Below are 26,661 nucleotides of genomic sequence, written 5' to 3' on the forward strand. Positions count from 1 at the left end.
ACATATAAAATGATGTTCAGCATCATATGCCAGTAGAGAACTGCAAATTAAAACAATACTAATACTAACCTATTAGAATGGCAAAAATCCAAAACGCTGACATCAAATGCTAGTGAGGATGTGGAGCAGCAGGAATTTTCATTCATTGCTCATGGGAATGCATAATGGTACAGCTACTTTGGAAGACAGTTTGGCAGTTTCTTAAGAAACTAAACACATTCTTATTGTATGATCCAGCAGCTGCACTCCTTGGTATTTACCCAAATGAATTGAAAACTTATGTCCAGAAAAAAACCAGCACATGAATGTGTATAGTACTTTTATTAATAATTGCCAAAACTTGGAAGCAACCAAGATGTCTTTAAGTAGATAAATAAATAAATAAACTGTGGTACATCCAGACAATGGAATATTATTTAACACTAAAGTAAATGAGCTATCAAGCCATGAAAAGACATGGAGGAAACTTAAATGCTCATTAAGTGAAGGAAGTCAATCCGAAAAGTCTACATCCTGCATTATTCCCATTGACATTCTGGAAAAAGCAAGACTTTGGAGACAGTGAAAAGATCAGTGGTTGCCAGGGATTGGAGGGAGGAAGGATGAATAGGCAGAACACAGAGGATTTTTCAGAATAGTGAAACTATTCTGTACTACAATGGCAGATACATGACATTATATACATTTGTCAAAACTCATAGAATGTACAATACCAAGAGTGAACACCAATGTGAGCTATGGACTTTGGGTGATAATGATGTGTCAATGTAGGTTCATCAGTGGTAACAAATGTACCACTCTGGTTTGGGATATTGATGTGGCAAGGTTGTGTGTGTGTGGGCACAGAAGACACAAGGGGACTCTTGTTTTCCACTTAATTTTGCTGTGAACCTAAGACTTCTCTTGAAAATAAAGTTTCTTAATTTTCAAAAAGAAAGAAATAAAATGAATGAACGAATGACTCAAAAGGAGAGAAATAAAATGAATGAATGAATGACTCACTCTATTCTTCATGTGCATTAGGATGGCTTATCAAAAAAACAGAAAATAACAAGCATTGGCAAAAATGTAGAAAAATTGGAACCCTTGTGCATTACTGGTGGGAATGTAAAATAGTGTTGCTGCTGTGAAAAAATGCATGGTAATTCCTCAATTTAATTATAAAAGAATGATCTTATGATCCAACTATTCTATTTTTGAATATATACCCAAAAGAACTGAGAGCAGGGACTTGAACAGATGTTTGTACATCTATGTTCACAGGAGCATTATTGACAACAGTCAAAAGAGGAATCAATCCTCGAGTCCATGGTCAGATAACTGGATAATGTGATCTATGCATACAATGTAATATTATTCGGCCTTATAAAGGGAGGAAATTCTGACACATGTTATAATATGGATGGACCTAGAGCAGCAGCCCCCAACCTTTTTGGTACCAGGGACTGGTTTCATGGAAGACAATCTTTCCACAGATAGCGGAGGAGGATGGTTTCAGGATGAACCTGCTTGATGTCAGATCATCAGACATTAGATCCTCATAAGGAATGTGCAACCTAGATCCCTCCATGCTCAGTTAACAATAGGGTTCGCACTCTTAAGAGAATTTAATGCCCCCACTGATCTGATAGGAGGCAGAGCTCAGGCAGTATTGCTCTCGCTGGGCCTGCTGCTCACCTCCTGCTGTGCAGCTAGGTTCCTAACCACTTACTGGTACTGGTCCATGGCATGGGGTAGGGGTGTGGGGGTGGAGGTTAGGGGGGGTGGGAACTCCTAACCCAGGGGACATTATGCTAAGGGAAAGAAGCCAATCACAAAAGGACAAATACCGTATGATTCCACTTATGTGAGGTACCTAGAGCCGTCAAATTCCCAGAGACAGAGAGTAGAATGGGAGTTGCCAGGGCCTGGAGGGAAGGCAGCAGGGAAAGTTATTGTTTAATGGGCATAGAGTTTCAGTTTGGAAGATGAAAAGAGTTCTGGAGATGGACGGTTGTACAACAATGTGAATGTATTTAACGCCCCTGAACTGTACACTTAAAAATGGTCAAAATGTTAAATTTTATGTTAGATGTATTTCACCACAATTTTAGAAATTTAAACAAGTAAGACTCTCAATATCCCATACTAAGCAAATGACAGATACAGCTTATATCTTATATTCTGATCAAAACAAAAAGTACATTTCTTTGAAACATAAAAAAGAAATGTTTAGCTGGGCACAGTGGCTCATGCCTGTAATCCCAGCACTTTGGGAGGCTGATGGGGAGGATCGCTTGAGCCCAGGAGTTTGAGAATAGCCTGGGCAACATGGCAAAACCCTGCCTCTAAAAAACATTTAAAAATTAGCTGGATGTGGTGGCACATGCCTGCAGTCCCATCTACTTGAGAGGCTGAGGTGGGGGGATTGTTTGAGCCCTGAGTGTTGAGGCTGCAGTGAGCTGAGATCGTACCACTGCACTCTCCAGCTTGGGTGACAGAGCGAGTCCCTGTCTCACAAAAAACTACAACAACAACAACAACAACAAAAACCCCCAAAACAAAAAACAGCAACAACAAAAACCCACAAATGTTTAAAATGCAAGAAAAAAAGTCCTTTGCTTCTTAGTCCATGACTTTGAAAAGTGACAGACTAGAAGATTATAGTCTCATATCTGAGGCAGCATCCAACAGGATAACTGGGCCCAGTTAAATCACCAGCCAATTTTCATATTGTATCACCAGCGAATGGCATGGTGCCATTTGACTCTTGGTGCCAGGAGGAGACAATCAATGTGGAATTTTCCACAGAATGCTATTTACCATGAGTATTGGCATATACCATTTAACTTTCACATTGCTTGGACCACATGAAAGCTGAAAAATCATTGCCCAAGTTTGGAGGTGCAATTGTCTATGCCTACCCCCAAATTCTTCATTCTGATGAAATCATAAACCTTAGCAGTCCTTAGAAAAAGTACATTGGCCTAGGAAGAAAAACATCATTTACCCTGCAGAGAGTCTTTCCCTTTTCAAAATTCCTTCTGATATAGTTTCCTAAAATCTCCAGAAACATCTGCCAAAGAGGTAATGTTCATAACGACAATGATGATGATAATGCAGTTATCCCCAAGTCTGAGTGCCATTTCTGTGCCAGGGACAGAGTGTGGCATTTTACATGTATAGAAGGGTTAGTTTCATTGTCCCAATAACCTTTCCAAGCAAATATTTTTCATCTAGCTTTTAAAGATGAAAAAATTGAGTTTCAAAGAAATGAAGTAATGTGTCCAAGGTAAGGTGGCAAAGCTAGGATTTAAATCCAGATCTCTCTAACTCCAAAAACTATATTCTTTCCTTTATACTATGCTACCTTTACTAATATTCCTATATCTTGGATGAATACCACCACCTTGCCATGTCTTATGCTTGTCATTGGCTAAGCTAGTGACCAGGCTGGGAGTTATGGCTCAGAATGGAGGTGCCCTCAGTAAGAGAAATGAGACAGGAATCCACCATACAGCCTCCCGCCCTGAGCACTTCTTCCAACACTCTAAGCCATCAACAGGGCCTTGTAGCAACAATTGCATCTGTTTATCAAGCAACTGTTGTACCAGGCACTACAGCGGAGCCTTTACGTGCTTTATCTCTAAGCCTTATAGCAATTCCAGAAAGCAGGTATGTTATCCTCATTTTATAGATGAGGCTGAGAAAGGTAAATGACATGCAAAACAAAACAGCTAGTCAGTGGCTAACTTTCCTCTTCTTACTGTAATGCCTAATGGCAGTAACCCAGAGCCAGTTTACGGAGAAAAGCAGAGGGTGGTGCGATGATAAACTAGGCTATCACCCATGAGACAGGCAATCTGGAGGAATTAAATATTGGGGGATTGGGTAGGATGATGAGGGCAAAGAGAACCTTGCCATCTTGAATTTTTTAAAGAAATTGCCTAAGTTTTCTAGACCTATGCAAATAAATACCGTGTGTTATTGTTCCTGGAATAAACTGCTTTGAATCTATACTTGAATGCACTGAGATTATTGATTCACCTGCTTCCAGTGTATATTATTATGCACACAGCTCTAATTTACTGCATCTGAAACAGCCCCTCGGAGCCCGATTCTCTGGCTATTGGCTTTGGTGAAAGATTCTTCTCAGATCATGTATTTACATTGCAGGTGATATTATAGAAAAGGTTTTGTTAAGAAACTCTCACTGGAGAGTAGAGTAATTTATACAAGATATTTGGACATCCTCCTTAGCCCCATTGCCCAACCCCTTCCCATTCCTCCCCTTCATTCTTGTTCTGAATGTTAAACTTTTACACACACTGCTCTAATGATATGATAATGCTTTTGGGTTAATATGTTTTTGCTGTTGAACTCCAGGGCAACGACTTGAGCCTCATCTATTAATTTGACTATGAGACGGGTTCAAGATAGAGTAGTTACAATAATCCTTTCCACTGGGGATAAAGGGAAAAGTGCAAGACTAAGAATAGCAGCACACATAAATAAAACACAGTTTCTTCCTATCTGTCAGGAAGACGAGGCAACCACTGGGCTGGCTACTTGCTAACATGGTGTCCACAACTCCTGCTCAACCCATGCATGGGTCCTTAATAATTATCCTGGACCCACTCAGCCAGAAAGTGCTTCCTAAATAACCTTTTGTCAATAGTGGTTTGAATTAAGACCAAGTTCTAGATGCAATAGTGTTCAATGGATAGGCTTTATTCTCACCCTCCTCCCATGACTGCCTCCCTAGGCAGGACACTAGTGAGACTCTACAAGGAAAGGAATTTTACTCAATTTGTTATGAGATGAATGGTGCCTCCCACTAGTTCCTATGTTGAAGTCCTAACCCCCAGTACCTCAGAATCTGATTGTATTTGGAGACAGGGCCTTAAAAAAGTTAATTAAGGTAAAATGAGGTCATATGATTGGGCCCTACCCCAGTACAATTGGTGTCCTTATAAGAAGAGATTAGGACACAGATACACAGAGGAAAGACCATGTGAGGACATGGTGGGAAGACAGCCATTTGCAAGCCAAGGAAGGCCTCAGAAGAAACCAACCCTGCAGGCACCTTGATTTTGGACTTCCAGCCTCCAGAATGGAATGCAATTAATTTCTGTTGTTTAAACCACCCAGTCTGTGCTACTTTGTTATGGCAGCCTAGCAGACTATATATAATTCTACTCATCTGCAAAGAACAGTGTTTCAGTAGAGCTTGGGAGGGAGAAAAACTCACTGTTGTTTAGCTTTGCCTGCATGCCAAACACTCACTCATGAGACCTCATTTAATCCACACAACTGCTGGGACATTTGCACTTTCCAACCAGTGAGCTCTCTTCACGAAGGGCTTCTGTGAACTTACTTTCTCCACAGCTGCAAATTTTAAAGTCAATTGTAGATAAACTATGACTCTCACTTGTCATGGGAATTTGGGGAAACAAGAAACCGAAGACTAGGAATTGAGAAGAGAAGTGGGAGATCCAAGTCTAGAAATCTGAGGATCTGGTAAAAGCTATAAAACTTCTCCCTGGCAAAACACATTCATGGCCATGAATCCAGAATGCTGACTTCAATTTCAAGGGTTAATGCACAGTTGGAAACTCACTCACAGACTCTGCAGGATTCATAGACCCCAGCTTATGAACCCTAGAGTAGAGAGTTTCAGTGAAGTCCTAGTAGAGAGGAGATGATGGAGGTGAGGAAAAGGGAAAAGAGAGGAGGAGAGGAAGAAGGAGGGAAGGAGAGGAGAGATGAGGGGAGAAGGAAGGGAGAATGGAGGAGTGAGGAGAGGAGTCAATGGAGGAGAAAAGCAAAGAAGAAGGAAGGGAAGAATAAAGGAGAAGGGGAGCAAGCAGAAGAGAAGTGAGGATGGGGATGGGGAAGAGGAGAAAAGAGAGAGAGGAGGGAAGGGGGAGACGAGGAGCAGTAGAAAAGGGAGGAGGGGATGAGAAGGGGCTGGGGTCTGTCCACACTTGTCCAGGCAGGGCTAAAGCCAAGGATAGGGTGTGGTGATTGCAAATCCAAGTCTTGACCTCAGAAAGGCAGTCAGTACTGGGGGACCAGATGTGGGGAAATCTTCGCACATGTTACCTGCAAGCATGCATAATAAACATTTAAACATGTCACTGAAATCATGAAAGAGGGAACCTAAGGAATTCCTAGTCCTCATGGAAATTATTAGTATGAAATTCACAGGTACTAAAACAGGTGTAACTGGCACAGTTCCTTAGGTGGGATGCCTTTCTTGTTGAATTTTAGGGAACGTAAAAACATGGGTAGGGGCTTAGCAAGTCATTTAAAATACTATTTTGTATGAATGTAAACACAGATATGGTATGGCACAGAATGCAAAATTTCATGTTGTCATAATACATGATCTTGAATAAGGTACTTTAATAGTTTCAATTCCCACATTCATAAAAAAATCTAAGAGGAACTAAGAAGTGATGTAACACATGTAAACCCTCAGCATTTAGTAGGTATTTGGCAAATACAAGATCCCTTCCCTTTTTCAGAGGCAGTTAGCCACCATCTCTCTGTGTTCCCACCACAGTCTCCTGCTCCTCCATCACACAAGCATTTATCATAATTATATGATTTATGTCTGTTTCTCGAGTGAAGGAGTATGCTTCCTAAGAGTAGGGACTGTGTCCTGTTCTTTTCTGGTTCCCAGGCCTTAGCACCATGTCAGCATACAGTAGGTGTTCATCAAACACTGCAAATGAATCAAACATACCTTTTTTAAACACTCTTGTGATGTCCTGTGACAGCTCTTCCCATGTCATTTAGCACTACTCTCTCTCCTAGAACGAGAGCCCCTTGAAGTCCAAAGCTAGGTCTTAATCGTCTTTTTATGCTCTGGATATGTAGTGCCTGTGTAAGGTGTTGTAGGGCCTCCATAAGTATTTGCCAAGTGGATTTTCCTTTGATTTGAAATGGAACCAAAGCTAATATTGACTGACCACAGCTGGCAAGAATAATAGAAGAGAGGCCTGAGAGCGCAACATCAGAAGTTGCCCAGTCCTGCTGGTTTTGCCAACTCAGACTTGCCTGCGCAGCCTCCGTTGATGGCCCCACTCCTGTTGTCAGATCACAGAGCACTCTGGGATCTCTACGCCACTGACGGTTAGAAGAAATGCTTCAGAGGCAGTCACCTGTAGGCTTAGAGGTTGCTTTTCCACATGTAGCAGGATTTAGATAGAGATGACTCCCATTCTTTTTAAAGGGGGAGCCTTCTGGAACCTTCAGTCCAAGCAACGTGAATCTCTCCCTTCTCTGTGCTCCTACTGCAGCTTGAAAGGAAAAAAGAAATCCTCTAACTTTATCCCCATTACAGGGTACTCCCCTATTTGCCTGTTTGTCTTACTTGGTAGACCTCACCACCACGGCATTTTAAAAGATGGTCACATTTTTCGCTTAGACACAAACTCCCGTGGCTGCCTCTTGTCAGCTACCAGTTAAATTGCCCTGGGCACTGTGTTTATGTCTCAAGTCTCAGCTTCCTCATAAGTAAAATGGGAATAAGAAGGCCTGTGTCACCCTTGGTAAGAGGCTTAAGTGAGATCACACGTGTAAATACGTGGCCTTGCACCTTGTAAATGGCAAATGTCTTTCTTTTTCCTCTCTGCCCTCTTTGGAGGGCAGGACTAAGTCTTATTTTTCTTTAAGACCTTCAAGACCTGGCACAGGACTTGGCAAAGGACAGATCCTCAGTATTTACTTTTAGAATAAATGAATGAGAGTCAAAAATAATACAACACTATCCCCTATTCCCTCAAGAAGCATCATGAAGACCCTAATACAGGCAGCCCATTCAAACAGACATACAGGTTCTGGCCGAATAAATGTGGAAGGAATCACATAAAAATGTAAATAGTCAATATGAATAGGTGATGCAAGTCAAGAAATGTGTGGTTTTGTTAATGTTGCAAAGCAGTTTTCATTATAATTACAGTTTAAAAAATATTTTCGTCCCTCTCCCTCTCCCGTCTCCCTCTCCCTCTCCCTCTCCCGTCTCCCTCTCCCTCTCCCTTCTCCCTCTCCCTCTCCCGTCTCCCTCTCCCTCTCCCGTCTCCCTCTCCCTCTCCCGTCTCCCTCTCCCTCTCCCGTCTCCCTCTCCCTCTCCCGTCTCCCTCTCCCTCTCCCGTCTCCCTCTCCCTCTCCCGTCTCCCGTCTCCCTCTCCCTCTCCCGTCTCCCTCTCCCTCTCCCGTCTCCCTCTCCCTCTCCCGTCTCCCTCTCCCTCTCCCGTCTCCCTCTCCCTCTCCCGTCTCCCTCTCCCTCTCCCGTCTCCCTCTCCCTCTCCCTCTCCCGTCTCCCTCTCCCTCTCCCTCTCCCGTCTCCCTCTCCCTCTCCTTTCCACGGTCTCCCTCTCATGCCGGGCCAAAGCTGGACTGTACTGCTGCCATCTCGGCTCGCTGCAGCCTCCCTGCCTGATTCTCCTGCCTCAGCCTGCCGAGTGCCTGCGATTGCAGGCGCGCGCCGCCACGCCTGACTGGTTTTCGTGTTTTTTTGGTGGGGACGGGGTTTCGCTGTGTTGGCCGGACTGGTCTCCAGCTCCTAGCCGCGAGTGATCCGCCAGCCTCGGCCTCCCGAGGTGCCGGGATTGCAGACGGAGTCTCATTCACTCAGTGCTCAATGGTGCCCAGGCTGGAGTGCAGTGGCGTGATCTCGGCTCGCTACGGCCTCCACCTCCCAGCCGCCTGCCTTGGCCCCCCAAAGTGCGGAGATTGCAGCCTCTGCCCGGCCGCCACCCCGTCTGGGAAGTGAGGAGCGTCTCTGCCTGGCTGCCCATCGTCTGGGATGTGAGGAGCCCCTCTGCCTGGCTGCCCAGTCTGGAAAGTGAGGACAGTCTCTGCCCGGCCGCCATCCCATCTAGGAAGTGAGGAGCGTCTCTGCCCGGCAGCCCATCGTCTGAGATGTGGGGAGCGCCTCTGCCCCGCCGCCCCATCTGGGATGTGAGGAGCGCCTCGTCCCGGCCGCGACCCCGTCTGGGAGGTGAGGAGTGTCTCTGCCCGGCCGCCCCGTCTGAGAAGTGAGGAGACCCTCTGCCTGGCAACCGCCCCGTCTGAGAAGTGAGGAGCCCCTCCGCCTGGCTGCCACCTCGTCTGGGAAGTGAGGAGCGTCTCCGCCCCCCATCCAGGAGGGAGGTGGGGGTCAGCCCCCCGCCCAGCCAGCCGCCCCGTCGGGGAGGTGAGGGGCGCCTCTGCCCGGCTGCCCCTACTGGGAAGTGAGGAGCCCCTCTGCCCAGCCAGGAGCCCCTCTGCCCAGCCAGCCGTCCCGTCCGGGAGGGAGGTGGGGGGGGGTCAGCCCCCCGCCCGGCCAGCCGCCCCGTCCGGGAGGGAGGTGGGGGGGTCAGCCCCCTGCCCGGCCAGCTGCCCGGTCTGGGAGCTGAGGGGCACCTCTGCCCGGCCGCCCCTACTGGGAAGTGAGGAGCCCCTCTGCCCGGCCACCACCCCGTCTGGGAGGTGTACCCAACAGCTCATTGAGAATGGGCCATGATGACGATGGCGGTTTTCTGGAATACAAAAGGGGGCAAGGCGGGGAAAAGATTGAGAAATCGGATGGTTGCCGTGTCTGTGTAGAAAGAAGTAGACACGGGAGACTTTTCATTTTGTTCTGTACTAAGAAAAATTCTTCTGCCTTGGGATCCTGTTGATCTGTGACCTTACCCCCCAACCCTGTGCTCTCTGAAACATGTGCTGTGTCCACTCAGGGTTAAATGGATTAAGGGCGGTGCAAGATGTGCTTTGTTAAACAGATGCTTGAAGGCAGCATGCTCGTTTAAGAGTCATCACCACTCCCTAATCTCAAGTACCCAGGGACACAAACACTCTGCCTAGGAAAACCAGAGACCTTTGTTCACTTGTTTGTCTGCTGACCTTCCCTCCACTAGTGTCCTATGACCCTGCCAAATCCCCCTCTGTGAGAAACACCCAAGAATGATCAATAAAAAAAAAATAAAATTAAAAAAAAAAATATTTTCAGCACAGAGTCTGTATCAGTATCTTGAGCATATTAGAAAAAGTTTTCAAGAATAACCTAGACGATATGATTATTTTCCCTACAGGGATTGTGTGGTGACAGCCTTTTCTGGCCAACAGCTCAAAGCTGCTTGCTTGTGACTCTGTTCCCAGCAAGGTTGTAGGCAGGGGATGTGGCAGAAGATACAGGAGTAGCTCAAGGAGCCTCACAAGTTCCTCTTGGTTCTTCCCCTTCCTCTCCAGCCTCCCAGCGCCCAGGACCCCTGCCTGAGCAGTGAGAGGCCCTGATTGATGCCCAGGACAGCAAGCTTTCCCACCAGCACCAACCTCACCATTTTCTTTCAGTATTTGAGGACTGAAAAGAAGGCTTCATAATGATGGGTACCATTTCTGGAGCAGCTCACTAAGGTCCCTGTTCTAGAATTTTACTCATCCTCTTCCTCATTTGACAGATTTGGAACCTGGGCCTCAGACGGCTATGACCTGCCCAAGACCTCACAAGTAGTGAGGTGGGCAGGGCAGCCGGAACTCAGGTGTCAGTGAGGGAATACTGATGTTCTTTCCATGTGAAATGCTGCCTCCCATCAGGATGACTTACATTTTAGGGGTTTCATGTGGTGGGATCATTTTTGACTTTAGTCTCTTGTATTCCGCTTTTCCCTAGGTCCTACGGCACTGTCTGGTGCATTGGACTGAGAATCAGGAGACAAAGCTTGTGGCCCGGCCGGTCATACTCTGAGTTGCTGCAAGTCATGGTCTCTTTTTGTCCTTCACCTGCTGAGTGACGAGTTGGGCTGGATGGCTTCTGTAGGAAACTCCCCACAGACTGACACATCTGATCCTACAAGTGTCCATCCACATAGCAGGGTCCCTGACACTTACCAAAGAGTGAAGCACAGTGCCAGGGACACGGTGGCCTCACTCATTCTCACAGTAGGTGGGCAGATGGGTTCTTCTCTCCCACCTTGCAGGGAAATAAAATGAAAATGAAAGCTCACAGAGGTCAGGTGATAGTCAACCTGCCCAAGGTCACACAGCTAGAAAATGGCAACTGTGTTGGGTTTCAGGAGGGGTATGAAGGATGGGAGTGTTTGGAGGTTGGGGGCAGCCCAGCTGCTGAGACATCCAGACAGGGCCATGGGAGTGGAGAGCAGGGGTAATATGGTTTGGCTGTGTCTCCACCCAAATCTCAGTTTGAATTGTATCTCCCAGAATTCCCACCTGTTGTGGGAGGGACTCAGGGGGAGGTAATTGAATCATGGGGGCCGGTCTTTCCTGTGCTATTTTCATGACAGTGAATAAGCCTCACGAGATCTGATGAGTTTATCAGGGGGTTTTTGCTTTTACTTCTTCATTTTTCTCTTGCTGCCGCCACGTTAGAAGCGCCTTTTGCCTCCCACCATGATTCTGAGGCCTCCCCAGACATGTGGAACTGTAAGTCCAATTAAACCTCTTCTTGTTCCCAGTTTTGGATATGTCTTTATCAACAGCATGAAAACGGACTAATATAGTAAATTAGTACAAGCAGAATAGGGCATTGCTGAAAAGATACCTGAAAATGTGGAAGCAGCTTTGGAACTATGTAACAGGAAGAGATTGGAACAGTTTGAAGAGCTCAGAAGAAGATAGGAAAATGTGGGAAAGTTTGGAACCTCATGGAGACTTGTTGAATGGCTTTGACAAAAATGCTGATAGTGATATGATCAATAAGGTCCAGGCTGAGGTGGTCTCCAGTGGAGATGAGGAAATATTGGGAACTGGAGCAAAGGTGACTGTTGTTATGTTTTGGCAAAGACACTGGAATCATATTGCCCCTGCCCTAGAGATTTGTGGAAATTTGAACTTGAGAGAGATGATTTAGGGTATCTGGTGGAAGAAATTTCTAAGCAGCAAAGCATTCAAGAGGTGACTTGGGTACTGTTAAAGGCATTCAGTTTTATAAGGGAAACAGAGCATAAAAGTTTGGGAAATCTGCAGCCTATGTGACAGAAAAGAAAATTCCATTTTCTGGGGAGAAATTCAAGCCAGCTGCAGAAACTTGCATAAGTAGAAAGGAGCCTAATATTAATCCCCAAGACCATGGGAAAAATATCTCCAGGCCATGTCAGAGACCTTCACAGCAGCCCCTCCCATCACAGCCCTGGAGGCCCAGGAGGAAAAAGTGGTTTTGTAGGCTGGGCCCAAGGTCCCTGTGCTGTGTGCAGCCTAGGGACTTGGTGCCCTGTGTCCCAGCCACTCCAGCCATGCCTGAAAGGGGCCAACATAGAGTTCAGGCTGTGGCTTCACAGGCTGGAAGCCCCAAGCCTTGGCAGCCTCCACATGGTGTTGAGCCTGTGGGTACACAGAGTCAATAATTGAGGTTTGGGAACCTCTGCCTAGATTTCAGAAGATGTATGGAAATGTCTGGATGCTGAGGCAAAAGTCTGCTGCAGGAGTGGGGCTTTCATGGAGAACCTCTGCTAGGGCAGTATAGAAGGGAAATGTGAGGTCAGAGCCCCCATAGAGAGTCCCTACTGGGGTACTGCCTACTACTGGAGCTGTGAGAAGAGGGACACCATCCTCCAGACACCAGAATGGTAGGTCCATTGACAGCTTGCACCGTGCACCTGCAAAAGCCGCAGAAATTCAACAACAGCCCGTGAAAGCAGCCAGGAGGAAGGCTGTACCCTGCAAAGCCAAAGAGGTGGAGTTGCCCAAGACCATGGGAACCCAGCTCTTGCATCAGTGTGACCTAGATGTGAGATCTGGAGTCAAAGGAGATCATTTTGGAGCTTCAAAATTTGACTGCCGCTGGATTTTGGACTTTCATGGGCCCTGTAACCCCTTTGTTTTGGCCAATTTCTCCCACTTGGAATGGCTGTATTTACCAAATATCTGTACTCTCATTGTATCTAGGAAGTAACTAGCTTGCTTTTGATTTTACAGGCTCATAGGTGGAAGGGACTTGCCTTGTCTCAGATGAGACTTTGGACTGTGGACTTTTAGGTTGATGCTAAAATGAATTAAGACTTTGGGGGACTGTTGGGAAGGCATGATTGGTTTTGAAATGTGAGGACATGAGATTTGGAGGGGCCAGGAGTGGAATTTTATGGTTTGGCTGCATCCCCACACAAATCTCAACTTGAATTGTATCTTCCAGAATTCCCATGTGTTGTGGGAGAGACCAGCGGGAGGTAACTGAATCATGGGGGCTGGTCTTTCCCATGTTATTCTCATGATAGTGAATAAGCCTCACGAGATCTGATGGGTTTATCAGGGGTTTCCATTTTTGCTTCTTCCTCATTTTTGTCTTGCTGCCGCCATGTTAGAAGTGCCTTTCGCCTCCCACCATGATTCTGAGGCATCCCCAGACATGTGGAACTATAAGTCCTGTTAAACTTCTTTTTGTTCCCAGTTTCGGGTATGTCTTTATCGGCAGCGTGAAAACAGACTAATGCAAGAGGGCATCTCGCAAGCCTGGACTGAGGGGAGATAGCACCAACCTGAGCCCAACAGGCCTGGCTCTGAGTCCAGGCCCTGCTGCTCCTTAGCTGTGTGACACTGGAGAAGTCACCGTGTGTCTCTGAGCCTGTTTCTTCACCTTGGCTCATCTCGTAGGCTTGTTGAGAAGATCAAATGGGAAAACAGGTCTGAAAGCTACTATGGAAGTCCACAGCCTCAGCCTCAGCACTGACTGGTTCTATGTCCCCTTAAGCCTCAGTGTCTCTGTCTGTGAAACTGGGGTCCTAACCCGACCTATCGGGGTGTTGTGGAGAGTAGTGCCTGTGTCTGAGGAGTCAGCCCCCGGCTGGTGCTGTTGATGGTAGCCGTTTGCCATTCCTATCATGGACAAGGTCTGTACAGGTGTGTGTTCAGATCAGACACTGTTCCCCATGTTTCCTGAGGACATTTCCAGGGGGTGCATTCTCTTCTTAACAGGGCCTCAGTCACACTTGTTCTCAGGCTTCTGGCCCCATTGTGCTGCTCATCAAACAGAACATTCTAGAGGCTGGAAGCCTCATTTTCTCTCCTCTTCCAGGCCTGGAGACTTGTCTCTCAGCTGTGACAGGCCTGAGAGCCCACCTGACCCACATTTCTAGAACTTTCCAACCAGCCTCACTGACAGAGCCTTGTAGCAGTAGCCTCAGCATGAGGAGGAAACAAGCTGCCTCCCTCAGCAAGGCTTATGGATGCGTGTTCAGCAGATGGCGCCTGGTCATGCCCAGGGTTAAGAGGTTTTCAGCAAAAAGCAAAAAGGCTCTGAGTCCTCAATATTCCATGCCAGACTGGGGCCCTTTTCCCCCATGCTTTCATTTTACCTGAGCCAACTAGAATGTAGGGCTGGCACTGGTTTCTCTTGGAGGCAAAGGTGTGACTGGAAACAGGCTGGGATGTTCCCACTGACTCACCACAGGTTACTGAGAGCAGTTCGTCTTGCTGGAAGGGACTGGGGATTGTTTCTTCAAGTGGTATCATGCCCATTTGAGCGGGGAGAAAACTCAGAATGAGAGGGGAGACAATGAAGGGAAAGGAGGAATTAAGCTGAGCTTCCCAACCCTGGCTGCTCATTAGAATCACCTGGAAGTTTTTTTTTTTAAAAAGCCCCTGCTTGGGCCCAACCCCAGCTCAGTGGAACCAGAACCAAAAGCTGCTCAGGACCTTTTGCCGGAGAGGTACCTTGTTTGCAGTTAATCCTAAAGCCATGTCAGCATGGGAGCATTAGTCCCAGGCTGGATTGAACCAGGTCCATCTGACCCCCAAGTTCACAAGTACCCAGAATTCCAGTTTAACACTCTCCCCACACATCAACAGCAAACTTCCCACCTAATCCTTTCCACTTCCATCCTCCTGTGATTTCATGTTCCCATTTGGCATTTTATTTTGATGTTCAGGGCATAAAGGGCCAATAGCTTTCCCCAAGTTATTTCTCCTCTGAAGCAGTGAAATAAGTTAGCAATTTTGGAGCCATTTAAAATGCATTGTTTTGCTGGGGGACGTGGTGGGGGGAAACCTGGCTTTCTCTCCTCCTGAACCCTAGCACAGAATGTAGCAGGCTTCCAATCAAGAATTTTTTTTTCAGAGTCTTGTTAGTCATGAAGGTAGAAGCCTTTCTGCACACACTGTGCTCCCGGTGGAAGGAAAGGAGACTCAAACACCTGCAGGCCGTGCAGGCCACTGCTGGAACACAGGCTCAGGGCATAGAGGCCCAAGTTCATACCTGGCCTCTCCCACTCCTCCATGTGTGACCTTAACCTGGGCATCCTCTTTTGTATGATGGCAACACCATCAACCACCTAACAGGCATTCATCAGGATTAGGTAAGAGGCCTAGCACATTGTTTACTCAACAAATAAATAGTAACTATTATTATTAAATGATGAGGATGATAATTATTGTTCAACCACTGCCCTAATCTTTAGTTTCTGTGAGGACAGCCTCCTTGATTAGGCCGCCACTGTGTGAAGAACCACTGAGTGGGGAGGACTGGTCTGGGTTTCCTAACAAAGGCTCTTGTCTTCTCTCTGATGGCCTGGTCTCCCAAATACAATCTATGAGGACCAGGCCACATAAACTAAACAAGTGTCCAAGCTCAGGCACCACCCACAGAAGTTCAGATTCCACTGGCCTGGGGAGGCGCCAGGCCTGGGCTTTCAACACTCGCCAGGTGATTCTAATGAGCAGTCAGCCAGGTTGGGGAGCTCTGCCTGATTCCTCCTTCCCCCTCCTTCCACCACTCTCTCCTTCACAGTCTTTATTTCCTCCCCTCTAAAATGAGAGAGAAGAAGTTATGTGAAGAAACAATTCCCAGCACCACACATGTGCTCTCAGGAAACTGGTGAGTTGGTGGGAATAGACCCAGCCTGCTTCTAGAGACACCGTGGCCTTCAAGAAAAACAGGTGCCAACCCTGCTTTCTAGCCCTGCTTCCATGCACTTAATTGACAAATATGTATTGGGGACCTACTCTGTGTCAGGCACTGAGCAGGATGCTGGGGACGCAGAGGGAGGACAGTGGCATTGTCCTGCCCTTGCGGAGCTTTCCTTCTGAGTGTGTTGAGCAGGGAGATGATGGCACTTGAAGAAGGAGCACGGGGACTAGGAGAAAGATTAAAAGAGGGGGCTGACCTGATCTGCCTGGTCTGGGGAAATCAGAGCAGCCCTCTCTGAGGAAGCAACATGAATTGAAACCTAAGGGATGACCAGGAGGTGGCCAGGAGAAGAAGGGATGGAGTCTGGAGGAGTCCCTGATGTTAGACGCTGCAAGTTAGCAGAACTGGAAGATGGCCAGTGTGGGTGGAGCAAAGAGAGGGGGAAGAATGAGTCAAGATGTGAGTAGAGAGGTCAGATGTTCATTATACAAATACTCGTGGAGAGGTAGAATAATATGGCCAGGGCAGTTAGGAGCAAGCCCACTGTACCCGGTGTGTCTGGATTCAAATCTTGCCTCTCTGTCCTCCTCTCCAAATTGGAGATGATGATAATACTACCTACTTCAAAGGGTTTTTGTGAAGATTAAATTTGCTAATTCATGTAAACCATGTAAAAGAGTGGCTGGAATACAGTAAGCTGTATAAACATTTGCTGTCGTTACTATTATGTGCTAGGCATTCATTGTTTCAGCCGCCTCATCTGCAAGATAAGAATAATAATGTCCCTGACTCGGAATGTGAAGATTGAATGAGAAGGCACAGGTGGAATACTTCCATTACCTGATACGTGGTGAGCCTGCAATACAAGTTCATTGTCATTATTTATCCATAATCGTTATGTGTGCTGAGTAGAGGATATGGGACTTTTTGGAACAAACTTGCAAGCAATCAAATACCCAGAAATGGGTGGAGCTCTCTCAGGGAATGCCCTTCCATTACAGATATGCAGTCCTGGGGCTGGACAGCTCACTTAAGCAGGGTGGCTGGATGTGGTGCCCTTGTAGTCTAAGAATCCACAATTCTACTCATCTGTAATCTCTATTGATTTCCACCCATCTCTAAAATTTTTCAGGAACATGTCCCGGAGGGTTTAGTCCCAGACAGTAATCCTCTGCTGCCTGTTTTCCTGCTGTGGTTGGGAGACATTCAATCCAGACAACTCCTCCTCCACAGCAGCTGACAATGGCTGTAAGAAGTGTGCCACACAAGGGTGAAAAGTGGTTCCCTGGGGTTGGCACCCAGCATTCTCTGCCCTTGCAGCATACAGGACAGCAGTGGCCTCACCATACCAACCAAGGTCACGGTGAGGCTGATAAGCAACTTCCCAGGCAGACACCTTGGAAAAAACTGACTGAGATCCAGCTCAGGACCTGCAGCATCTCTAGAAGCATCCAGTCACTCTTCTCGCCTTCTCTCCTGGGGTGCCGTTCATTTCTGCCCTCTAAAAATAGCAGTGGTTATTCAGGGAAATGCACCGTGCTCTGTCTCTAGGGATGCCAACGCAGGCCTCTTTCAAAAATAGAACCCCAATCAGTTGTGCTTCCTAGCTGTCTCTTCCTCCAGTCTCAGAATCCTTCAGAAGGACCCAGAGGCAGGGCAGCAGTCCGATGCTGGGCATCACATAGTGGGGAGAGCTAGAGCTGGGGCTTCTCACCCAGGTTTATCTCCTTCTAAATATCTCCACTTTTAAAAGTCCACTTCACCTTACTCCGCATTGAATCTAGTGTCCCCCAGGACATGCCATAGGTTCCTTCATCAGTGCTGGAAGGGACCTCAGAGATTTACTCCCAGAGCAAACTTGGCCCAGGAAGGGCAAGGGTCATCCAAAGTCACACATCAGAGCAATGCAGGCTGGGCCTTCCAGGCTTACTCCTCATCACTGTGTGGCCAGGCCTGGTGCCCTTAAGGGACACGGGCATCCATTAAAACACTAGAGGCAGCTGCTATTTTCATCCCATCTCTCTTTGGCTCAGCTGACACATGGATGCCTTTCAATTCTAGGCTGATCGTTCTTGACAGAACATTTCAAAGTCAAGGCAGGGGCAGGAGAGGAGGACAAAGCTGTTGCTCCAGGCACAAGCACAGCCTCTGAACGTTTTGCCTGTCACTAGTAGTTTCTGTCCATACTAGGGGATTATTATGCCCTGGAAAAACTTCTAGCTGGGGCATTACAAGTGACTCATACTCTGGTTGCCTTAATACCCAGAGTCATCCAGGAGAGATGCTTGTCAGACCTTGTTTAATCAGTCCCAGCAGAAAGTATGCTTGAAGGATGAACACTATTATAATTATGCCCCACACAGCTTTCTGACATTATTGAAAAAGTTCGTGCTGCAGAGGGTCTGCAGGAAGAATCTTTTGTTCCAACTGGTACAGCGGGGCCCATCATTAGGACTCATGGACATTAGTAATTCCAGAAGTAGGACATCACACAACACAGAGAATATGATCTTGGCTGGAAGAAGGCAGTTGGGAAGTTTGGGCTTGGCCTCATGCTATTCCATCATCTTGTGAGTAGGGCCTGAAAACTGCGTTTCTAACAGTAGTGTTTCTAACAGTAGTGTTGACACTGGTGGTCCAGGGACTGCACTTTGAGAACCACAGAAATAGCCACCTGCCTTGCTTTCCTCATGGGATTCTAGTGATGCCTCCTTTGGAAGAGCTGTGGCTAGTCCAGCTCTGCCATATGCCTGCTGTGTAGGACCCTCAGACCATCACTTATCATCTCTGAGTCTTGGGTTTCCTACTTTTAAATGGAAATAACTCCTACCATGTGTACTTCAGAGTGGCGAAGGTCAAAAGAGAAATAACCAGGCAAAAAAAAAAAAAATTCTGAAAATCATAAAGATTACTCAAATAACACACATTTATTGGGTACCTACCATAAGTCAGAAGCTCTGTTAGATGCAGGGGATACTGGCATGAATCAACCAGAATTCCTGCCCTTAGGGAGCCCAGGGGAGAATGGGGAAGAAGATAAATGAACCACTGATATAGTCCCGTGCAGTAACAGAGACTCACAGAAGCATGAAGGAGGGGTGGGGCAAGTGGCTGAAAGCCCTCTGATTTCATCTTTAGGGTGAAGGGAAACCACTGTAGGGTTTTCAGGTAAAGTGACCCAATCTCATTTGTTTTATGGGAAGATCAGTGTGGGCTGGGGAATGAGTCATCAAGAGGTGCTAGGCTAGAGGCAGAGAGGCAGGGAGACACTGGGGAGGCTGCTGCAGTGATCCAAGAGTGAATGAATGGAGGGAACTTGATGCATTTGAGAGATATGCAGGATAGGATTCACACGGCTTTGTGACTGGTCAGGTGTGTGAGACAAAGAAGGAGGCAGAACCAGGGTGGCACCCAAGTTTCTGGTCCACTGACTAAGATGGGAAGGACTGGGGAAGTGGGTGGGGGAGGAGATGATGTGAGTCTGTTTGGGGCATGATGAGCCTGAGGTGTCTTTGCTGCCTCCTGTAGACACTGGTCACAGCACTGCCAGGAACAGGACCTCGTCCCATAAACCACTGCCACTCTGACTGCCAGGTCTTCCCTGCTGTGAGGGACTTTTCCCCTTCCACCCTACCCATGCTCTGGCTTTACAGAGCTGCTGTTCTCTGCCTCTTCCACATGCAGCTGTGCCTTTCTCATCCAGAGGCAGCTCCAAAATGAACAACAGTAGCAATCAGCGAGTAATCATCTTTTTTTTCCCTCCTATACAATGTCTGGGTGTGCAGATGATGTTTGTGATTGTTGCAAAAATGGTGGCATGAAAAATTTGGCTCCTGCCAAAGAAAGGAAGGAAAAGAAAACCAATTTAAATAAACTCACATAGTTCAGACCCGATTTGAAGCTTCTTAACCTGGAGCCTGCAAAGGTTCTCTGTCCCTCTGTTCCCTGTGGTGTTTGTTTGGCGGTGGCTTGTTGTTTGGGGGTGGCTTGTAAGAACCTGCCAGGTTGGGACAGTCCAGTGGTGGCCCCTGGGGACTCTGAGAGTCAAGGTGATGGTGGATCTGCTCTAACTTCCACTGTGAGTGCTGGACATTCATGAAGAGCAGTGCTCTGGGCTTTTCACTCACACACAGCTTAGCTCCCAGACAACTGAGAGGAGGTGCTCATGGCAGTTCTAGGTGGCTTTATGAGCACCCTAGACAGAAAGACCATGGACTAGAGGAGGCCCATAATGACAAACTGTCACTGTTACTCTGTTCCCAGGACATGCAAATGGCATCCCACACTGTGCTAAAGGCTTTACCATTGTCTTGGTTTAATTTGTCCTCACAATTGTCCTACAAAGTGGGTATTAATAATCTCATTTTACACAGGAAGAAAATGGAGGGAAAAGTTAATTATGATACTGCAGCTAGTAAACAGCAAAACTGGGATTCTAACCCAGGTTGCCTGATTCAAAAGCCCATGATTGAGCTATAATACAAAAAGACATATAATAACAAATATTGATGAAGATGTGGAGAAACTGGAACCCTTATACACTGCTGGTGGAAATGTGAAATGCCACAGCCTCTAGAAAACATTCTGGAAGTTCTTCAAACAGTTAAACACACCATATGATCCAGCAATTCAACACCTGGGTATTTATTTGCTCAAGAGAAATGAAAACATATCCACAAGGACAAGTGTTTATAGCAACATTATTCATAATAGCATAAAGGTGAAAACAACCCAAATGTCCATCAGCTAAGAAATGGGTAAGTAGAATATGATATGTGCACACAATGGAATATTGTAGTTTTCTCCCTTTATCCACAGAGGATACATTCCAAGGTCCCCAGTGGATGCCTGAAATTAAGGATAGTACCAAACCCTGTATATACTATGCTTTTTTCTATACATACATATCTATAATAAAGTTTAATTTATAAATTAGGCACAATCAGAGATTAGCAATAATAAATAGAGAAATTATAACAATATACAGTCAGACATCTGTATCATGGGGGATTGATTCCAGGACCCCCTGCAGGTATCCAAATCCAAGAATCTTCAACTCCCTCATATAAAGTGGCATAGTACAGTCTCTAATTGTGGATTTCTATCTGCAGTTGGTTGAATTCATAGATGCAAAACCTGTATGTCCAAAGGGCTGACTGTACTGTAATAAAAGTTATGTGACTATCATCTCTCTCCCAAAATATCTTATTGTGCTGTATTCACATGAAAATGAAATTGTGGAAAGTGAAAGTGCTATATTTGGCAAGAAAAAGGAATGAAGTACTAACACATACTACAACCTAGATAAACCTTGAAAACACGCTAAGTGAAAGAAGCCAGCCACAAAAAAACACATGTTGTATGATTTCATTTATACAATAACATTTCCAGAATAGACAAATCCACAGGTGCAGAAAAGAGATTTGTGGTTGCCTAGACCTGGCCAAAGCAGGGATGGGAATAAGGTGGTGCAGGGGGTGGAGGCATTAGGTTAGGAAGAAATCTGGGGTGACTGTTAATGGGTATGGGTTCTTTTGGGGTGAATAATGAAAATTTTCTAAAACGGATTCTGGTGATGGTTTCTCGACTCTGCAAATAGTAAAAAGCACTGAATTGTACACTTTAAATGACTGTATGTATATGTCAATTATGTCTAAATAAAGCTGCTATTTTTAGAAAGTGATGGTTACATATTTAAAAAGAAAAAATGAAGAAAAAGCAACTATAATCCTTCCAAGTAAAAGCATCTGGAATTATTATTTTTTATTCATTCAACAAATCTTGAGCCCCTACTATGGCCTGGGCACCTATCTCTGGGAGCTGTGACTAGAAGTTTCCAGTCTGGTTGGGGAGATACAATGTGGGCACAGAACCATGCTTCATGGTAGAAGAAGCCAAGGGAATTGAAACAGTAGGATACCATTTCATACCCACTAGACTGGCAAAAACTAACTTCTGATATTACCACAATGGCAAAAATGCAGAGCCATAGATAGGCTGATATACTGCTTGAGGGAGAATAAATAGGTATAGTTTGGAAGGAAATTTGGCAGTGTTTAGTAGAGCTGCAGATGTGCCTGCCCTGTGTCCTAGCCATCCTATGCGCTCCTAGGGTATAGTGGGGAGAGTCTTACACATGTGCACAAGAGGATATCAGCAAAAACCTTCACGGCAACACGGCTCGTGCTGGATGACTGGAAACAAACAACCAAGTCCAGCAACAAGTGAAAGGATAAATGAGCTCTATTACAGTCACACAACGGGTTATACACAGTGGTAAGTTCCAACAAAACCCAATATATATCAAGTTTGAAGATATACCAAACGATAGCATCTATTGTTTGTGGATACTGTACATACATATGTAGTAAAAGTACAGAATTGTGTGGGAATGAGCAATACTAAATTCCAGATACTTGTTGCCTCTTAGGAAGGAGAGGAATGAGATTGGGGGGCACACCGTTATCTTCAGTTGTACCTATTATGTTTCTTTTAAAGTTACTTGCAATATCTTTCTTTTTTTAAATTGATATTTGTATTGAGATAATTAAGGGTTCACATGCAGTTTTAAGAAACAAGAGAGAGGTCCCTTTTACACTCTGCCCAGCTTCCCCAATGGTAACATTTTGCAAAAGTATAAAATACTGTCATAGCCAAGATATGGATATAGATACAGTCTACCAATCATATTCAAATGTCCCATTTTACTGGTACTCATGTGTGTATGGGTTAAGTTCTATACAATTTTACCACTCGCATAGGTTTGTGTGTCCATCACCACAGTCGAGATACAGAACGTCTCCACAGGCAAGGATCCTCATGTGTCCTTTTATCTCCATACCCGCATCCCTTCCACCCCCAGCCCAGGTCCTCAACTCCATCAGCCACTCACCTCATTTCTAAAATTTTGTCATTTCAAAAATCAATGAAATCAGACAGTAGTTAAGTTTCTGAGATAGTTTTATTCTCACTCAGTGTAATTCCCTGGAGATTCATCCAAATTGTTATACATAAGACAGTTCATTCCTTGTTAGTGCTGAGTAGCATTCCATAGCATGAATGGACCACAGTTCACTGTTCACCTGTTGAAGGACATCTAGGCTAATTCCAGTTTTGGCTATTATAATAACTAGAATGTTTTAATTCTTGGACTGGGTGGTAGGTATACAGATTTTCACTGTATTCTTTATTCTACTTTTTGATACAAGGAACACTTTATAATTGAAATGAAGGAAGAGAGAAAGGAGGCACTACTAATGTTGAACCAACTCCATGCAGCCACCGTGCTGAGAAGAGGGTAGCTCAGAGTACAGAACTCAGAGTGAATGCTAAGGCCAAGGCCATGGGCCACTGGCAGGTCTGGTGTTCAGGAACAAGGCCAGGGTGCCCACTTGCTTCAAGTTTCTAGGCCTTATAGGGAGCAATGAAGCCTGTCCAAGTCCTTTAGCCTCTGGGCAAGTGCTTAGGGAACCTCCCCTATGGTAGAGCTCTTTCCCATGCCTGGGTATCTGGGTGTGCTGCCCTGAAGTGGGAAAATCAAAAAGAAGGCAGAAGAAAAGAGCTCCCAGTCAGGACATCTAGAAATGCCCCTATGTTCCCAGAGAAGGCAGAAGAAAAAGCCAAGGGGACAGAATGAAATCTGGCATCTCCTGAAGGCCTTGAGAGAGATCTAGAATTGCAGGAAAGTGGCTGCCTGAACAGTGCTGGAACAGAGACTGCCTATTGGAAGGAACTGAGAGCTTTCTTCTAATTTGAGGTCAAAGCTATGTGGGGCTTTTGTTGCCAGTGGTAGATAATGAGGCCCTCCCTGATTCTCTGTGACACTCAGGTGCAGGGGACACAGGTGTAGCCCTGGCTTCCCATGTACTTCTTACACTCTGATATGGTTTGGCTGTGTCCCCACCCAAATGTCAACTTGAATTGTATCTCCCAGAATTCCCACATGTTGTGGGAGGGACCCAGGGGGAAGTAAATGAATCCTGGGGGCTGGTCTTTCCCATGCTATTCTCATGAATAAGTCTCATGAGATCTGATGGGTTTATCAGGGATTTCCACTTTTGCTTCTTCCTCATTTTCTCTTGCCACTGCCATGTTAGAAGTACCTTCCACCTCCGGCCATGATTCTGAGGCCTCCCCAGCTATGTGGAACAATTAAATCTCTTCTTGTTTCCAGTTTCAGGTGTCTTTATCAGCAGCGTGAAAATGGACTAATACACGCTCCTCACCATGTAGCTTTAACCTTCTTTGCCTAAATCCCTGCAAACACCAATTATGAATTTCTTAGTCCTGGGCAGGACTAAGAATGGGACAGTGACAAATTCATGATATAAACATTTACTGGGGGCCTTCGTGGTGCTCAGACATCTCCCTGACCTCAAGAGCTCCCAGTCAGGACATCTAGAAATGCCCCCATGTGCCCAGAGAATGGTGACATATGCTGGGAAGGCCACAGAGACTATCGGCTGTGGGACAGGGGCAGAAGCAAGGCAATGAGCCTGTGGGGTCGGGGCAGGCTGCCTGCAAGTTCACCTCCAGGGGGACCTGGGAGAATGAGCAGGAGTTTGCCAGGCTCAAGGTATCCAAAGGGCTGCACATACTGAGAGAAGAGCTTTGTAAAGGTGCAAAGGCCAGGAAGCACTGCTATGAAAGCTACAACTACTGCTGCTGTTGCCAAGAATAATAATATCCCAACTAACACGGAGTGAGAGTGTTAACCATGTGCCAGGTGGTGTCCCAAGTGCTTTATGTGTATTATCTTATTTGACCCTAACAACAACATTATTTTGTTATTACTACTATATCAATTATACACATAAAGTTCCAGAAGCACAGTGTGGCTAGGTAACTTGCTTTAGGAGATGGACACACTTTGGAAGTAGAAAAGCCCAGATTTGAAACCAGAGCCTGAGCTCCCTGCCATCTGTGATAAACTCTTGGGAAAAGGGATAATACAGGTGGCGGGGTGTGGTGGCTCACACCTGTAATCCCAGCACTTTGGGAGGCCGAGGCAGGTGGATTGCTTGAGCTCAGGAGGTTGAGACCAGCCTGAGTAACATGGTGAAACCCCGTCTCTACAGAAAAATACAAAAATTAGCCAGGTATGGTGGCATGCACCTGTAGTCCCAGCTACTCAGGAGGCTGAGGTAGGAGGATCGCTTGAGCCCAGGAAGCAGAGGTTGCAGTGAACAGAGATTGTGTCACTGTACTCCAGCCTGGATGACAGAGCCAGACTCTGTCTCAAAAAAAAAAAAAAAAAAAAAAAAAGTGGGGGATAATTTAGGGCCTCCTATGATACAGTGTAAAGTCTGGGCTTCCTCTGGAGAGCAACGGGAAGCCACTGAAAATCACTAACTAGAGAGAGTCACAAGCCCACCTCTGACAGGAATGCTATTCCAGAGCCTGCTCTCTGTCACTGTACCATATGGCCTTCTAACATGCTTGCCTCTTAACATCCTGGAATTCTTGCTCTAGAATTCCTAGAGCAGGAGTCTCTATCAGGAGTCTCTCAGAGCACGGGTCATCGGCATCTCAATGGCCAGCAGAGGCTAACAGCAACCAGAATACCCATTCCAGTGGGGCAGACAGAACACCATGAAATTAATGATCAATTGCTACATAGTATTAAGCACATCTATGAGTAAGGCCTTTGCCTATTTTAGAAAAGTGCTATTTATGACAGAGCAACAAACAGTGACAGATTGCTGAGGCTTGCCTTCTGAAGACCCAATTTTGGAGAATTATTCATCTTGAAAGTACTTCTCTCCACCCTGGTTTCCTCATGTGTAAAATGGGGGTGATAAGAATACCTACTATCACTGGGTTGTTGTAAAGATTAAATGAGCTAATACTACTCAGGCAGATACTGACCATGCTACAGATGGTAGTTCTTGATGTTGTTCTTGTGATTATTTTCAACCCAGTGGGAAGAAGCTCGGCTTCATAGCAGATGACCTTGATCCAATTCCAGACTCCCTTACTTCCTAGCTGTGTGACTTAAAGTCATTGACCCTCTCTGAGGCTCTGTGGCCCCATCTGTGTATCAGAAATAACAACGCTTACCTCACTGGGTAGTTGAGAGTGTTAAATGGACTGTGAAATGCCTAGCACGGTGGCTGACATCTAATAGGCGCTCAACAAATGTCTGTTCTCACCCCTGGAGTGTTTTCTGCATACTTGGCTTTTCCACTATGGCCAGAATCCAAAGAGGCAAAGGTTTATGTGCTTCTCATTGCTCCTTTCTACCAGGGGAATTTTCACAAAGGCAATGGGAGGTGGAAGACCCATTTCTCAGCGGGTAAGTCAAGGCAGTACAGCGACAGAGGTCCACAGCCTTGCAAACAACCCTCGGGCCACTACCTCAGTGGCTTTGGATAAACTGACCACCGAGGTGTGCAGCCGCAGGTGCAATTAGCAACAGGAAGCGAGCCCAATGTTTGGGAGGATTTGGTAATTGAATCCACCAAGGATAATGACACTGACCTTCCCATTTGGAAATAAACTAGCATTTGGCTTGTAAATGGCTCTGCAATCATTCTGACTGCACACCCAGCACTGTGCAGCTTCCCTACTCCGAGGATGCAGGATAGGTAAAGAAGGATTGCATCAAAGGGGTTTTGGAAGAGCAGCAACATCCACAGCAGTGGCTGAGTTCACTCTGCTAACCCCAACCCGGCCGGCCTTGGGAAAGGGCAGAATTCCACACTTAGCTTCTGTGGCTGTCTGCTGCTCCTTCCCAAAGCATGGGAGCCCTGGGCCAGAAGGCGTTCCCTCACAGTATTCCTTTTTTAAGCAAATCGGGAACTCCTGGGTTCCCAGCACAATCTGTGGCACCTTTTAAA

General features: G+C 46.1%; 1 protein-coding gene across 5 annotated transcripts in view, besides 1 other annotated feature; it reads right to left on the reverse strand.

Annotated features, from left to right (window-relative positions):
- Nucleotides 1-26,661, reverse strand: part of TENM4 (teneurin transmembrane protein 4) — a 788,202-nt gene that overhangs the window by 529,975 nt on the left and 231,566 nt on the right. The window lies entirely within an intron of this gene.
- Nucleotides 8,948-9,490: an enhancer, noted in NCBI's record as "H3K27ac hESC enhancer chr11:78902796-78903338 (GRCh37/hg19 assembly coordinates)". NCBI's record gives its function as "activates a minimal SCP1, AML or CMV promoter by ChIP-STARR-seq in naive H9 embryonic stem cells {active_cell/tissue: H9 hESC(naive)}" and the evidence as "EXISTENCE:reporter gene assay evidence [ECO:0000049][PMID:30033119]".

Source organism: Homo sapiens, chromosome 11, assembly GCF_000001405.40.
Source record: "Homo sapiens chromosome 11, GRCh38.p14 Primary Assembly".
NCBI lineage: Eukaryota > Metazoa > Chordata > Mammalia > Primates > Hominidae > Homo > Homo sapiens.